This window comes from Homo sapiens, chromosome 17 (assembly GCF_000001405.40).
Source record: "Homo sapiens chromosome 17, GRCh38.p14 Primary Assembly".
NCBI classification, from domain to species: domain Eukaryota; kingdom Metazoa; phylum Chordata; class Mammalia; order Primates; family Hominidae; genus Homo; species Homo sapiens.
This window is the reverse complement of record NC_000017.11, coordinates 13,350,633-13,364,954: the sequence shown is the minus strand read 5'-3', so window position 1 is coordinate 13,364,954 and position 14,322 is coordinate 13,350,633. Positions and strand designations below refer to the sequence as shown.

At 39.2% G+C, this 14,322-nt stretch overlaps 1 long non-coding RNA gene across 2 annotated transcripts in view, besides 1 other annotated feature; it reads left to right on the top strand.

Annotated features, from left to right (window-relative positions):
- Window positions 1-13,493, top strand: part of LOC105371543 (uncharacterized) — a 35,728-nt gene extending 22,235 nt beyond the window's left edge. For both annotated transcript variants that reach the window (XR_934238.3, XR_934236.3), the window contains exons 3-5: window positions 3,086-3,191; window positions 5,335-5,381; window positions 11,048-13,493. This is a non-coding gene — a long non-coding RNA (uncharacterized LOC105371543). The remainder of the gene's footprint in view (window positions 1-3,085; window positions 3,192-5,334; window positions 5,382-11,047) is intronic.
- Window positions 1,739-2,240: an enhancer, noted in NCBI's record as "NANOG hESC enhancer chr17:13266032-13266533 (GRCh37/hg19 assembly coordinates)". NCBI's record gives its function as "activates a minimal SCP1, AML or CMV promoter by ChIP-STARR-seq in naive H9 embryonic stem cells {active_cell/tissue: H9 hESC(naive)}" and the evidence as "EXISTENCE:reporter gene assay evidence [ECO:0000049][PMID:30033119]".
- Window positions 13,494-14,322: the final 829 nt, after the last annotated feature.

Genomic DNA, 14,322 nt, shown 5'->3' with positions numbered 1-14,322 from the left:
GAAAACCACAAGTAACTTTGACTTTCAGGTATCAAAAGTGGTTTTCCTGGTCTGTGACAGGTTTAATTGAATGTCTGCAACAGAGGATGGAGATTGATGCGTGGGCAGGTCTGCTGCCCAGATGGCCTACCTAGCCTTGTTTTGCTTTTCAATTGAGCCAACATTGAAAATGAGAATATTTCACATAAACAGGTAGAGTTCTGGCTTCTCTTAAAATATCTGACAGTTCCTAGCCTACACACTCACGTGATTAAATTGAGTAGGAACTGGTTAGTGACCTTTCTCTTTAGGACACACATTCTAACTCCATTTGGACTCAGTATTGTGTCTTTGACTCTGAGACCAAGTGGCAGTTGTATTTATAAGCACACATGGAACGTTGGATTTCTCAATAAAGGAAAACCCTCCTCCCTGACCATGTCTCTATCAAAATTCAGAAAGTAAAAGATAAGCTAAGAAGGTTGCTTGCGTGCTTTAAGAAAAATGGGAGAGAGCACCTCACTTGGAGGAAAGTTAAGGTTCTTTAGTAATTGCCTGTCACATCAGTTCACTCATGCTATCACCTTCCTGGTTCCAGAAGGTATTTGAGTTTGAGATCCCTGGCATAGAGCTTACTCCTGAAATATTTGCCCAACAGGAAATCTAACTTGAAGTTTTTTCTAGTAAGAGAAACCATCTCTGTAACTTTATCCATCTCATTCTTCATCAAAGCATAGCTCTGTCTCTAGGTGACTGTGTCACACCCCTAGTCATGCTCATGATCCCATTCATTCTCAGCTTCTTGGAGTTTTGCTTCCAACACTAAGTCCATCTGTTTTTTACATCTCTACTCTTACTGCACAGATCTCATCAGCTATTAAGAAAACTATTACTTCCCTTTACTACTGCTGTTTCTCCCTTTCATTGCCCAGATACTTAAGCAAATGGTGTGTGGTCCCTGCCCCAAGTTGTGTGTCATTTATGCCATCTGCTACACTTACCTCAAGCCAATTTTGATTCCATGCAGTCTGGGGTTCATTCCAATAACTTCCTTGATTATTCTCTCATCAAGATCGTCAAAGATTTCCTTCTAGCCACTTCCAGTTACTTTGCTTTCATTGAATGTACTGGGCTTTTAACAATACTGAGTTTCCATGCTTTTTTGAGAACTTGTTGCCCCTGGATTTCATGACAATAGATAACCTAGGTTTTTCCACCTCCTAACAGTAAATGGCTTCCTAGCTTCTTTATTTTCTACAAAATCTAAACTTACTCCTATGAAGAGTTTATTTGTATTTACAGCTCTTATGATTACATATATCTCTTATGCCCCCAAGTTATGCATCTTTACAGAATCCTTTAACCAAATATATGTGTAAACCTTTTAGATTTTAAGGTTTTAGATTATAAAATCTTTTAGATTTTAGATTCACTTACAATTAGGTTAATTAATAGTGTATCATATTCCCAACTGCTAATGTTGATATTATTAATTCTACTCTCATTTTAGGCATAAACAACTCCAGAGAAGTTAATATGCACCTGCTCATGAATGACTAGAAAATAGTGTGAATTTCAGCTTGACGGCTGCAAAAACTTGGTGCTGGGGAAGGCAACAGCTGACAATGTTGATCAGACACCATGAATTAATAGTAGGAAGTCCATATGGTGATAGAGACAGAAAATCTTATTTCAGTTCAGAGAATCTTAATCAGCTCTGTCACTTAATTGTTACATGACTTTATTAGCTATACTAAGTGATTGCTCTGACCTGTTTTCTTAGCTTTAAAATGAACAATATAATAATAATTAAATTACTTGAAGTTAGGATCTGAAGTACACTTTTTGTTTGTGGCAGGAATTGGTATTCTTGTTCGCCCTGTCCATGCCACTGAGATTTTCTGTCTTCCTTTTCTGTTCTCCCTGTTCCCCCAAGCAGCCTTGCCGTGAGTGTGACAGAGCACTAGCAAGCTCCCTAACACTGAGAACTCCTGCTGGGGGTCTGGTCTGTATGCCTTATCCCTAGGGAGGTGATTATTCATCCGCTCAGCTGGAACCATGATGAGGTGCTGTGTCATCTATGTGGGTGGCTGTGATTTTTGAGACGTTCCTGCAGCTGTGACCCATCCTCATAGGGAACTCCTTTGGATACTGAAATAAGTTCCTTGTTATTCCTGATTTCACTGGCTGCAATGACCACTTCAGAATTTCTACGTAGGAGGGTCCTAGGGTCAGCCTTTTGTATGGGGGGAAGGATTTGTCTAGGAGCCTTCCTTAAAACTGCACACGAATGGCAAGTTCATTATTTTTACACACATTCCTTGTTTATTTGAGGGGACTGGAAGGTGCTCAGGAAAACCTACTTCCAAGCCGCTGCGAAGCACCAGCTACTTTCATTTTGGAATTGACATTTGTACTACTGACCATTTCTCTTTTAGGGGAGTGGCATAGCCCTGTGGTTGGATTGTTTCCACCAATTCTGACCTTGGCATGTCCAGCTCCTTCATTTCTCATGTGTCCATTTGCTGATGGTCCCACAGTATCTACTGGCTCTTCCTGAGACGTGACACATTCTTCTAAAAATGATTTCATCCTCCCATCCAACACCATCCATCTGTTAATAAAATGATCATTTTGTTAGCAGCATCAGCTCTTTCTTCTCTTAAAAGGTCAAGCCATTCCTTAAATCTGGTAGAATATTTAATTCCTTTTGCCGATGAGATCCGTAATGGTTACCCCTCTTTAGTTGCCTCTTTTAACCTTGATACACCTGGCTAGAAGTCTATGAATTTTATGAATCTTTTCAAAGAACCAGCTTTTGGTTTCACTGGTTTTCTCTATTGAGCTTTTGTTTTAAATTTTGTTGATTTTTTAATCTAAATTTTAAATTTTATTTTATTTTAGATTCAGGGGGTACCTGTGCATGTTTGTTACGTGGGTATATTGCGTGCTGGTGAAGATTGGGCTTCTAGTGTGCCCATCATCCAAAGAGTGAACATCGTACCCATGGGCAATCTCTCAACTCTCTCACCACTTCCTACCCTCACTTAAATACTTTTTCTTTCTTCGTGTTCATTTTAGGCTTAAATTACTCTTCTTTCTCTAGATTCAGAAGGTATGAGATTGGACTTGGATCTTCTTTTTCTGACATATGCATTTAATACTATACATTTCCCGCTAAGCACCATTTTTACCGCATGCCACAAGTTTTGGTAAGTTGTATTTCCATTTTTGTTTAGTTCAAAATAGTTTCTTTTTTGCTTTTTTTTTTTTTTTTTTTTTTTTTGAGACAGAGTCTCGCCCTGTCCCCCACGCTGGAGTGCAATGGCCCAATCTCTGCTCACTGCAACCTCTGCCTCCCGGGTTCAAGTGATTCTATTGCCTCGGCCTCCTGAGTAGCTGGGATTACAGGCAGGCTCCACCATGCCCAGGTAATTTTTGTATTTTTAGTAGAGACGGGGTTTCGCCATGTTGGTCAGGCTAGTCTTGAACTGCTGACCTCAGGTGATCCTGGCCTCGACCTCCCAAGTGCTGGGATTACAGGCGTGAGCCACCGCACCTGACCCTAGTTCAAAATATTTTCTAAGTGTATATTGAGACTTCTTTTTTGATCCACATATTACTTAGAAATATGTTGTCAAATCTCCAAAAATCTGAGAATGTTCTTTTCTTTCTGTTAATAATTTCTAGTTCAAGTCCATTGTGGTGTAAGAACATATGTTGTATGATTTCTATATTTTAAATTTATAAAAGTGTGTTTTATGTCCTGGAATTCAGTCTATTTTAGTGACTGTTCCATGTGAGCTAGAGAGAAATGTGTATTCTGCTATTTCGGGATGGTATATTTTATGAATGTTAATTGTGTCAATTTGGTAGTGCTTTCATTAGCACTTCTTACTAAGTTAACTCTTGGATGTTTTTATAAATTTTGTTGCTAGTAAAATGCCAATTTATTATTTAGTATTTTGATCCTCAGTACATCATATATACTGAACAAATATTTGAAAGAAAAATGAGGTTAAACGCTTATACTTATTTCATTCACTCCTCTTATTTTATGCACTATAAAGTATGCCAGAAAGATAATGTGGCTTGGCCGAGATCACTCAGCTATACATATTTTTTAATGAGAGTACCAAACAGGTACAATAAGAGTGTAACAGTAAAAAGAAAAGTAGTTTACTGTCCAACAGACATGGGTTTGAACCTTGGACTGCTCACATACAAACTGAGTAACTGTGGCCTTTCTGCATCTCAGTCGCCCAATCAGTAAAAATTGTGAACCACAACCCCAAGCTTGCAGAGCTGTTGTGAGGATTAAATAACAAATTGCATTAAAAACACAGCCAACGCTGAGCACAGGACACTGTATGTGTTTCAAAAGTGCTCTGTCCTTTCTACATCTGGAAATAGGAGAGCTTCTGCCACCAGATACAAAAAAGAATTCTCCATGAAGCAAAAGTGACGACATTATTTCAACAGCCACAGGGAAAATTGAGAAAATAATCTTTACTCAAAGAATCGGTTGAAATAAGATAATAAGACTGTCCCATATAAAGATACAGCAGAAAACATTTGAACCCATATCCCTTAGCTGATTAATGACAGGCCAGCTTTGCTGTAAAGATTCCCATTGGGTTTAGAGCTTGTTTTCAACCATGGAATCACAAAGTGTCTTTCATGTGGGTAGCTTTAGTGACTTGGGTTTGGAGCTATTTTAATATTTAGTAACTGTGGATGAGAATTTCTGTTGCCCTATTTTTTTATGCCAGTCACTGGAAACCAATAGTTTACTTCTAACTTTTATCTATTATGGTCCAGTAGACAATTTGTGTTTTCTCCATGTCGGTACCACACCATACAAATCTGTTCTATGAATCTTGGGTTTCTTTCCAGGTATCCTGTCCTGGAAGGGCACAGAACACTAGTGCACGTCAAATGAAGGATAGTATCCTGGGAGGCAGTGACTCAGACACATGCCAGGTCCAGAAAAGTATAGCATCCGGCCGAGTCTTAAATAATCAATTCTGACAATTACAGATGGAGTAGAATTTACACACAGGAAGTGTCAGTCAGATAATGGCTGTGTGTAATATCAGGAAGGTTCACTGTGATAACTTCAAATGTCACTTATTAAAAGAAGCTGATTATGCTCATGTTTGGCCACATGATAATTTTGTTTTTATGTCGTAGTTGTGTCTAATTATTCCTGGAATAATCTTATGTTGCTGGTTATCTATACACTAAAAGGAATATGTTACTCAAATGTACAATGTCACAAAACAGTTCTTAAAAAAAATTTATTGTTTGTGACATGATGTCCAGAAATAATCATTGCAATAAACATTGTTTTAGGGTTCACTGAACTGGGACTATCCTGGTACCTGAAAAGGATAAACTAGGTAAGTAGCTATCTATGTTCATTATCTGGGGCCTTAACTCAAATTACATATGTTGTTAAAAATTCAGGTAATATTTTTACTTATTTCCATTAACTTTTTCATATAATTTTACTTCCTATTCTGTTTAAGAATATGACTTATATAGTGTGGATTTTTTTTTTTTGAGACAGGGTCTCACTCTGTCACCCAGGCTGGAGTGCAATGGCACAGTCATGGCTCACCGCAGCCTCAATATCTTAGGTTCAATTGATCCTCCTACCTCAGTCTCCTGAGCAGCTAGAATTACAGGTGCACACCACCATGCCCACCTATTAGTACTTTTTGTAGAGATGGGGGTCTCACTATGTTGCCCAGGCTGGTCTCAAACTCCTGGGCTCAGGAGGTCCACTTGTCTAGGCCTCTCAAAGTGCTGGGATTACAGGCATGAGCCACCGCCCTCATCAGTGTGGATTTTTTAAACAAAATTCTATCCTTATCTGAAAACAGATTCATTCATGTATCCAATCATAATTAGTATAAAAGCACTATAGAAATCATAAAGAAAAAGGCACGTATATAACTACACAAAAACTTAGCATTTCTAAGTGTCCAAAACACCATAAGGATACTTAAAAGTAAAATACACGATGGAACAAAATGAAGGCTAATATGCTGAGTAAGTATAGATCCATTAAAAGCTCAGTAAAAACTATTATCCTGAAGGAAAAGTGGGCAAAAAATGAAGAAACAGAAATGAATATTAAGCATGCTAAACATTGGTCACACGCAATATTAATGAAATAAAGGACAGTGAGGCATAATAAATCAATTACGAATTAAAACACTTTTGTATTTTGTTAGAATAAAAACTTTGCACAAGTTAAATTTAACACAGTTTAATTGAGCAAAGAGCAATTCTCTAACTGGACATCCTCAGAACCAGAACTACAGGAAGCACTTCCGAAACGTGTGAAGGCGTTAAATGTTAATTTTTGTGCAATTGTATATCAGCCTTTTCATTTATGATTTTTATAGTGATTTTATGCTTATTATGGGTGGATGCACGCAAGGAGGTAAATTTACGGAAAGAAAACACCAGTGAGGTAAAAAAAGCTTGATTGGTAACAGCTCCGGGTTTGCCTTACTTGAACACGATCTGATCAGTTTGCAGTCTGTGATTGGGAAAACTCAGCTGCTGTGATTGGCTGAGACTACTCGTAGGCTAGGCTTTCAGCTTGTTTGTGTAACAAGTTAGGTTGCAGTTTACTACATAAGGACTCCAGGTCCAGAAGCATCCGCAGGTCAGATTTAGTTTAACAATCTCATTCATCAGATTCATAAAAATGAAAATGTTTGGTACTATTGTCACTTACTAATAAGAATATGGAGTCATGGGGTGCACCATACTTTGCTAGCAGGAGTGGGGAAATTTTGTCAGAAGCACACAAAATTAAAATGCACATATCTTATCAGAGAGTACACGTCAAGTAACTATCCTCAGTAAATATTTGCACACAAACACAGGAAAATAAGTGCAAGGATTGTTTACTGAAGCATTGCTTGTAATAGTAAAACCTTAGAAACGTGATAGAATCTTATAGGGCAGCTATAAGGCTTTAAATAATCATATACACATCTGGAATACTATACTGCAATTAAAAGAAACTTTTTAAAAGAATATATCTTCTTATATATTTGTTATATATAATATATATTTAAATATGCTTATATATTTACAAATGTACTTATATACTTACATAAATACAATATAAATATTTACTTTTATATCTACTTATATTATTGATATATTAATATATTCTTACATATTATAAATATATAATATATTGTTATAAATATAATCTTATATATAATTATATAATATATAAATACAAGTATAATTATATAATACAGAAAATATATTCTTACTTATACATTTATAGATAAATATAGTTTCATAGTGGAAAGAATAAGTATTATTTATAAATATATATTTATAGTGGAGATAATATATATTTATGTACAAAATGGAAAGATCTAAAAAGCACAATTGTGTTTTTGTTTTTTGAGAGGAAGTCTCACTTTATCGCCCAGACTGGAGTGCAGTGGTGCGATCTCATCTCACTGCAATCTTTGCCTCTGGAGTTCAAACAATTCTTGTACCTCAGCCTCCCGAGTAGCTGGGATTGATTACAGGCACGTGCCACCACGCCTGGCTAACTTTTGTATTTTTACTAGAGACAGGGTTTCACCCTGTTGCCCAGCCTGGTCTCAAACCCTTGACTTCAGGTGATCTGCCTGCCTCAACCTCCCAAAGTGCTGGGATTACAGGCTTGAGCCCCTACTCCTGGCTAAAAAGCACATTGTTGATTAAGGATGTAAATGACAGAATATGGGTAGAGTATTTTACCATTTATATAAACTTAAAACATGGACATTAATAATATACTAGAGTTCATGGTTCCTATGGTTTTATGGTTTTAAATTATGCCTCAATTTTATCTTCAGTGTTTTATTTCTTCTATTAAAAACAGACAGATGCAAAACTCTATGGGCTCACTGTCAATTACTCCATTTATATTGAGGGATGAATAGGTGCAGTACGGAGGATTTTTAGGGCAATGAGACTAATATGTATGATACTATAATGGTAAATAGTTGCCATTATACATTTGTCCAAATCCACAAAATGTACACCAAGAGTCAGCCCTAAGGTAAACTATGGACTCTGGGTAAAAATGGTGTGTCAATGGCGGTCCAACGACTGTAACAAATGTACCACCCTGGTGGAGGATGTTGATAGTAGGGGAGGCTGTGCATGTGGGGGCAGGAGGTATTGGGGAAATCTCTGTACCTTCTGTTCAATTTTGCTGTGAACCTAAAACTGCTCTAAAAAATAAAATTGTTTTTAAAAAGATAGAGAAAATGTTTTAAAAGGTTAATAGTTACCATTTCTAGATATAGAGATAGTTGTTTATTTCCTTTTTATGTTAAGAGAGTGAAAAAAACACCATTACAAAAATTCAAGAAAGGTAAGTCAACCAAAAACATAAAAAGGTAATCTACAGAGGAGAATACAAGTGTAAAAATACTCAGTATCTCCGTTAGCCAAAGGGATGCAAATCAAAGCCACCACTGGCACAGATTTTTGATACCGTGTATGGCGCACAGTAGGTGCACTGCCTGAGGAAGCCTGCAGCAGATGGCACAGGCCCTTTCCCACAATCTCCTTATCAACTCCCTTCCCCCTAGGGGAGCTGGAAGTAGTACACTGAGAAGACGAAGGAGGATTAAAAGGGCAAAGAGAAATGTAAAAAGAGAATACACTTCTCCCTATGCCAGGACCACAGGTGGAGTCTCATATGGGGGAGAAGGAAAGTTTTGAATTAACATATAAAGTTTTCAACTCGACTACAGGACTTTTCTACACCTAAAAGTGTGACTTAATAATAATCTCAATAAGAATATTCCTGGCCGGCGGGTGCGGTGGCTCACGCCTGTAATCCCAGCACTTTGGGAGGCGGAGGCGGGCGGATCACGAGGTCAGGAGATAGAGGACACCCTGGCTAACATGGTGAAACCCTGTCTCTACTAAAAATACAAAAAAATTAGTCAGGCGTGGTGGCGGGCGCCTGTAGTCCCAGCTACTTGGGAGGCTGAGGCAGGAGAATGGCATGAACCAGGGAGGCGGAGCTTGCAATGAGCCGAGATCGCGCCACTGCACTCCAGCCTGGGCGACAGAGCGAGACTCCCTCTCAAAAAAAAAAAAAAAAAAAAAGAATATTCCTGGCCGGGCACGGTGGCTCATGCCTGTAATTCCAGCACTTTGGGGGGCCGAGACAGGCGGATCACGAGGTCAGAAGATAGAGACCAGCCTGGCCAACATGGTGAAACTCCATCTCTACTAAAAATACAAAACTTAGCTGAGCATGATGGCGGGGTCTATTATCCCAGCTACTCGGGAGGCTGAGACAGGAGCATCGCTTGAACCCAGGAGGCGGAGGTTGCAGTGAGCCGAGATCACGCCACTGCACTCCAGCATGGGCGACAGAGCAAGACTCTGTCTCGGAAAAAAAAAATTCCCAAGACTCAATGTGACAGACTTAAGATGACATCACAGGGCTTGGATAAGGAGATTTGATTCCTTATAGTTGAAAGCAGTGACAGAAAAATTGAAACAAAATGCCATCCACCATCTACCAACAACCTAGATAAGCCAAAGACTGAGAGAGTCACATTTTGATAGAGTAACCATGTGTCTGGCTTCCCCAGGCCAGCCTCTGATTAGGCTTGTCCCAGAGTAATTGACACCTCCTTTACTCTCTCTCAGAAATGTCCCAGTTTAGAAGATGACGACATTCATCAGGATTAAGTCATTTGTTCAAGGACATCAGTTAAAAAGTGGCAGCACTGGAATTCAAATTAAATCTGTCTGGCTTCAAACTCCACTGCTATTAAATGCTATTAATCTGAACTAGTAGCCTGAATCAGTAACATTTCAAAATATAGTTTAAAAAAACATTAGCATTACTCTCAAGACTATACCATAATTTATAGCTAAACCAATAATTATTGGCACACAGAAACCCTTGGGGGTTTTTCTTAATTAATAAATAAAATGTGTATACAATATAAGCAGCTGGTTCTAAAGAGATTGAAATATGTATTTTTTAAAGTGTATCAAACACTTAGAGTTTACATTTTACATTTGCCTACCTGTTTTTCCCATTAGCCAAACAAAGGTAAGAGTTTATGTTTGAATGGCTATAAATTTCAAATTAGTAGAGTTCAGATTAAGTAGTTTTTATGTGTATTACTGAAACTAATAAAAAAGATCGCTATTCATAAAAGCTTAAAATATCAAGTAATAATTTTAATACTGTGTAAAACAGTATAAACAGTGTAAAACTAGCTATCACTTTCTTGTAAATATTAAGTTACAAAATTGGGGTTCTTTGTAAAGAGAGAAACTTAAGTGTGTATTTGCAGAACATTCATCCTTGGGGACATATTCCGAAATATTAAAAATGCCTATGAAAACCACATATACCTCATTGTGTAAGCTGCGTTTACACATATGACACATGCTTATATGTGAATATTTGCTGATATATTTAATCTCACAGTTTATCTGTGATATGTATGCTATTCGATTTTTTAAATAAGAAAGGAGTATTTCCCAAGTTATGAAGGATTTTTCACTTTCTGTCTCTCCAAGCCATATCTAGAGGGAAATGACCAAGAGAATCACAATGAGATGGAATGGTAGAGGGAATAGAAGTCTTGTGGTTCCTTCTCCATTGCTTTTCAGCTGTGTGACTTTGGGCAAACTTTTTAACCTCTCTGAGTCTCAATTTCTTTTCATGGATATTGAAATGCCACTATCTTAACATTTTTCATCAGGCTCAGAACCCAAAGTGAGCTAACATTTGTGTAGCAATAATTTCAAAAGTACCTTTAGAAACATTATTCCTCATTTTTCAAAGGATTTTAATAATTCAAGTTATTATTTTTATTATTGGAATAAATTTCTTCCAACAATCAATAACCTTAAGCAGCAAAGAACACTTCCTAACGTGGGGCTCTCAGAATTCCAAAAGAGAGGAAAGACAGGCTGGGAGTGGTGGGAGGTAGAATTAGAAGGCCCCACAGAGGAATGAATCACCTCTCAACAGATTTCTACTTTTCAGAATGTGCTCGTGTTGGGGTGGATAAATCCTGAAGAAAGCTCACAGTCTGACAAGTTCAACCGCAGTTGCCAATCTCTGCAGAGCTGCTAAGCAAAGCCCTCTTGAGCTTGGGGAAAGAACTCCTGCCTTGGCCCAGACGAGCCATGCTCTGCAACTGATCTTCCCCCAAGCCTTTTAATGAAGTTTGACACTTGGCAGAGGCGGGGAGCTGAGGCACATGCTCTGAATGAGCTCTCATTCCTAAGAGGTTTTGGCATCACGGGAGCATACCTCCTGCCCTGCTCTTCCTCCAGTTGTCCACCTCCACTCTCAGGGCAGGGGCCGGGGAGGCTGCAGTTAGCTCCATGCCAAGAAGCCACATCAGGCCACATCTGGCTGGAGACATTGGCTGTCAGCACTCATTGCCAGGGTTCCAGTCCAAGATGCTCAGTACAAAGTCCCAGGGATCCTTCCTAGACGAAGCACTCTAAGTTTCTTCTGTAGAGGCAGTGCTGGCTGGGCAGGTGGCAAAGCAATCGTATGATGGACACAAAGTGGCATATATTATCCAGCCTTCTGGGCATGACATGGCAGATTCATGAATTCATGAATTCTTTCATTCAACAAATGAGGATGAAGTTCCTGCCACCACCAGATACGCTTCTACCTGCCTGTGAGGACTGCAGCAGTCAACCGGGTTGAAAGCAGCTCGTATCCTTATGGAGCCTGCATTGCTCTAGGGAGAGACAGCTGAGAAAACATTACATTCACGGGATCATTACAGCTTGCACTTTGTGTCTGATGTGAAAAAATGAGGGGGTCTGGGCACTGGGAAGACCCTTTCTGGGAGGGTGCTCAGGTAGACTCTTTTGATCTGAGCCGAGATCTGCTGTATGAGCAGAGCACAGCCACAGAGACCATCAGGGAAGGAGCATTCCAGGCAGGAGAATGACAGCGAGAGGGAAAGAGCTCCTGCCAGGGAAGGACTGGGGAGGAGGTGCTTTCTAAGCCACATAATACAGGAGAGTAGGTTGCGTCATCACCATGATCACTGTTTGAATGGTCCTCACCCCATACTTTACCTGTGTGTGCTATAGAATGAAGCTGGCTGGAGCTGTGTGGGTCATTGCCTTCTTCGGGCTCCCATGGATGATGCCCACTTCTTTCCACGCTGCATTCTCCTTATGGCTTGTCTAGTCCCACTTTCCTTTTGGACTGAGAGTTCTTTGAAAGCAGGTACTCTGCCTTCTGTTTTTGTAGCACCAGCATCTGGTAGAGCAATTTAGCATTGACAAGGCATCTTGCAAATACTTGCCAAATGTATGAATATAAGAGGCAACATCTGCGGGAATGTTGGAGAATGGGATGGCCTCAAGGTGGCCCAAGGAGGGAAAGTGGCACAAATTCTTTTTTTGTTTTTTTTTTTGAGATGGAGTTTTGCTCTTGCTGCCCAGTCTGGAGCACAATGGCACGATCTCGGCTCACTGCAACCTCCGCCTCCTGGATTCAAGTGATTCTGCTGCCTCAGCCTCCTGAGTAGCTGGGATTACAGGCATGCACCACCAGGCCCGGCTAATTTTTGTATTTTTAGTAGAGACGGGATTTCATCATGTTGATCATGCTGATCTCAAACTCCTGACCTCAGGTGATCCACCTGCCTCGGCCTCCCAAAGTGCCGAGATTACTGGCATGAGCCACTGCACCCGGCAGAGTGGCACAAATTCTTATTGCAAAGTTACAGGCAGGGTTAATCCCAAGGGAATCTGCCAGTGCATGTGTATCTATCACTGGGGCTCTCCGATTTGTCTCACCTCTTCCTCTTGGCATGGATTAAAAGAGCCAAAGGTATTCATTCAGTTACTTTTTATTCTTTCTGGTTGGGAGGAAGGATCATTTTCTTTATACAGGCCGAATGCAATCCCAACCAATTAAAATAGAAGGTGTAATAAAATAACTGCTAAGGAGAAGTAAAAGGAAAAGGGAGAATGAAAGAAGAAAAGCAGAGAAAGTATAAGAGAAATGAATACAAATTATTATCCCTTTGATAATAATATTCCTTTTACAATAACCAATCATTAATACTTCAGAATCATGAATGAGACTCTCAAAAACAAGTCTCAAATGTGGATTGTATCTAGGTTCCGATTTCATATGGCAGTTATCTTATATATTTGAAATGCCAATTGATTATTAAAAACACATTTCTTTAGCTTTGACTACCATGTAATAGACAGGTAACTATTACATCGTTGTTAAACCCCAGTAAATACTACTTATTGGAAACACATTTCTTTCAACTCAACAATATGATTGTGTATGTATCTATTACAGAAATCTTGAAACCCCATCAATTTGTGCCAAAAATACATCTCTTTTCTTTTGAATTCACAAGGCTCAAGATATTGTCTCAAATGGAGTGCTATTAAGTCCCCAGTAACTATCTCAGTAATAAACGATGACCACTGCAGTGAAAGTTTGGCAGTTTGTTTAATCACTCAGAATAATAACTGGAAACAAGAACACTCTACACATTAAAAGCAGATTTGTTCAAAGAATGTTGACCACTTTGTGTCTCGACTGAACTACCACGGGCTCAAATGTTCTGGACAAAAATTTGTAACAGCAAAACCCTTTTCAGGGGCAAATGAATCACTCTGTGGGTTAGGTGCATTTTTCTACCCAATGGATTTGTCGTAGCATTCCTACTTTCTTGGATTTGGACTGTGCCCTAAAGCCCTGGGCTATACCTCTGGCTGGAGCTGTGTAACTAAAGAAGAAAAAATAACAGAATTGAAAGAGATGAAAGAATCTAAACCATCTCCTACCTCATCTAACATACTCATGCCACACAGATGAGCAAATAGAGGGAACTGGTTAGTTCAGGGCCATTTCCCCAGGTTCTAGTCCATCTATCCTTTTGGGAAGTGTAAGAGATACACAAAATCTAAACACAATTCTGCATTAAACTTTTTTTTTCACTAAAAGAAAATTTGCTTTAACTCCCCTGAAACTGGGTGGAGTGTAAAAGACATTAACTATTTTATAATTATATTGATTTTCTGCTTCATTTAGGTTTAGGATAGTAAGAAAGAACGTGATTCATTCGGTAGTTGTAAAGTCAGGCTGACATTCAGTTTGCCAGTGGACAAAATATTAAAACACTTCCCTACAGTTGGGTAAAGCTGTTTCCCAGAGTGCCTGGGGAGTCCCCCGCAACCATCCCGGCAGTCAGCAGCTGCCCCTGCCCAGGCTTTCCCGCAATCCAGCTAAAAGGTTCACACCAGGGTACTTCTGCA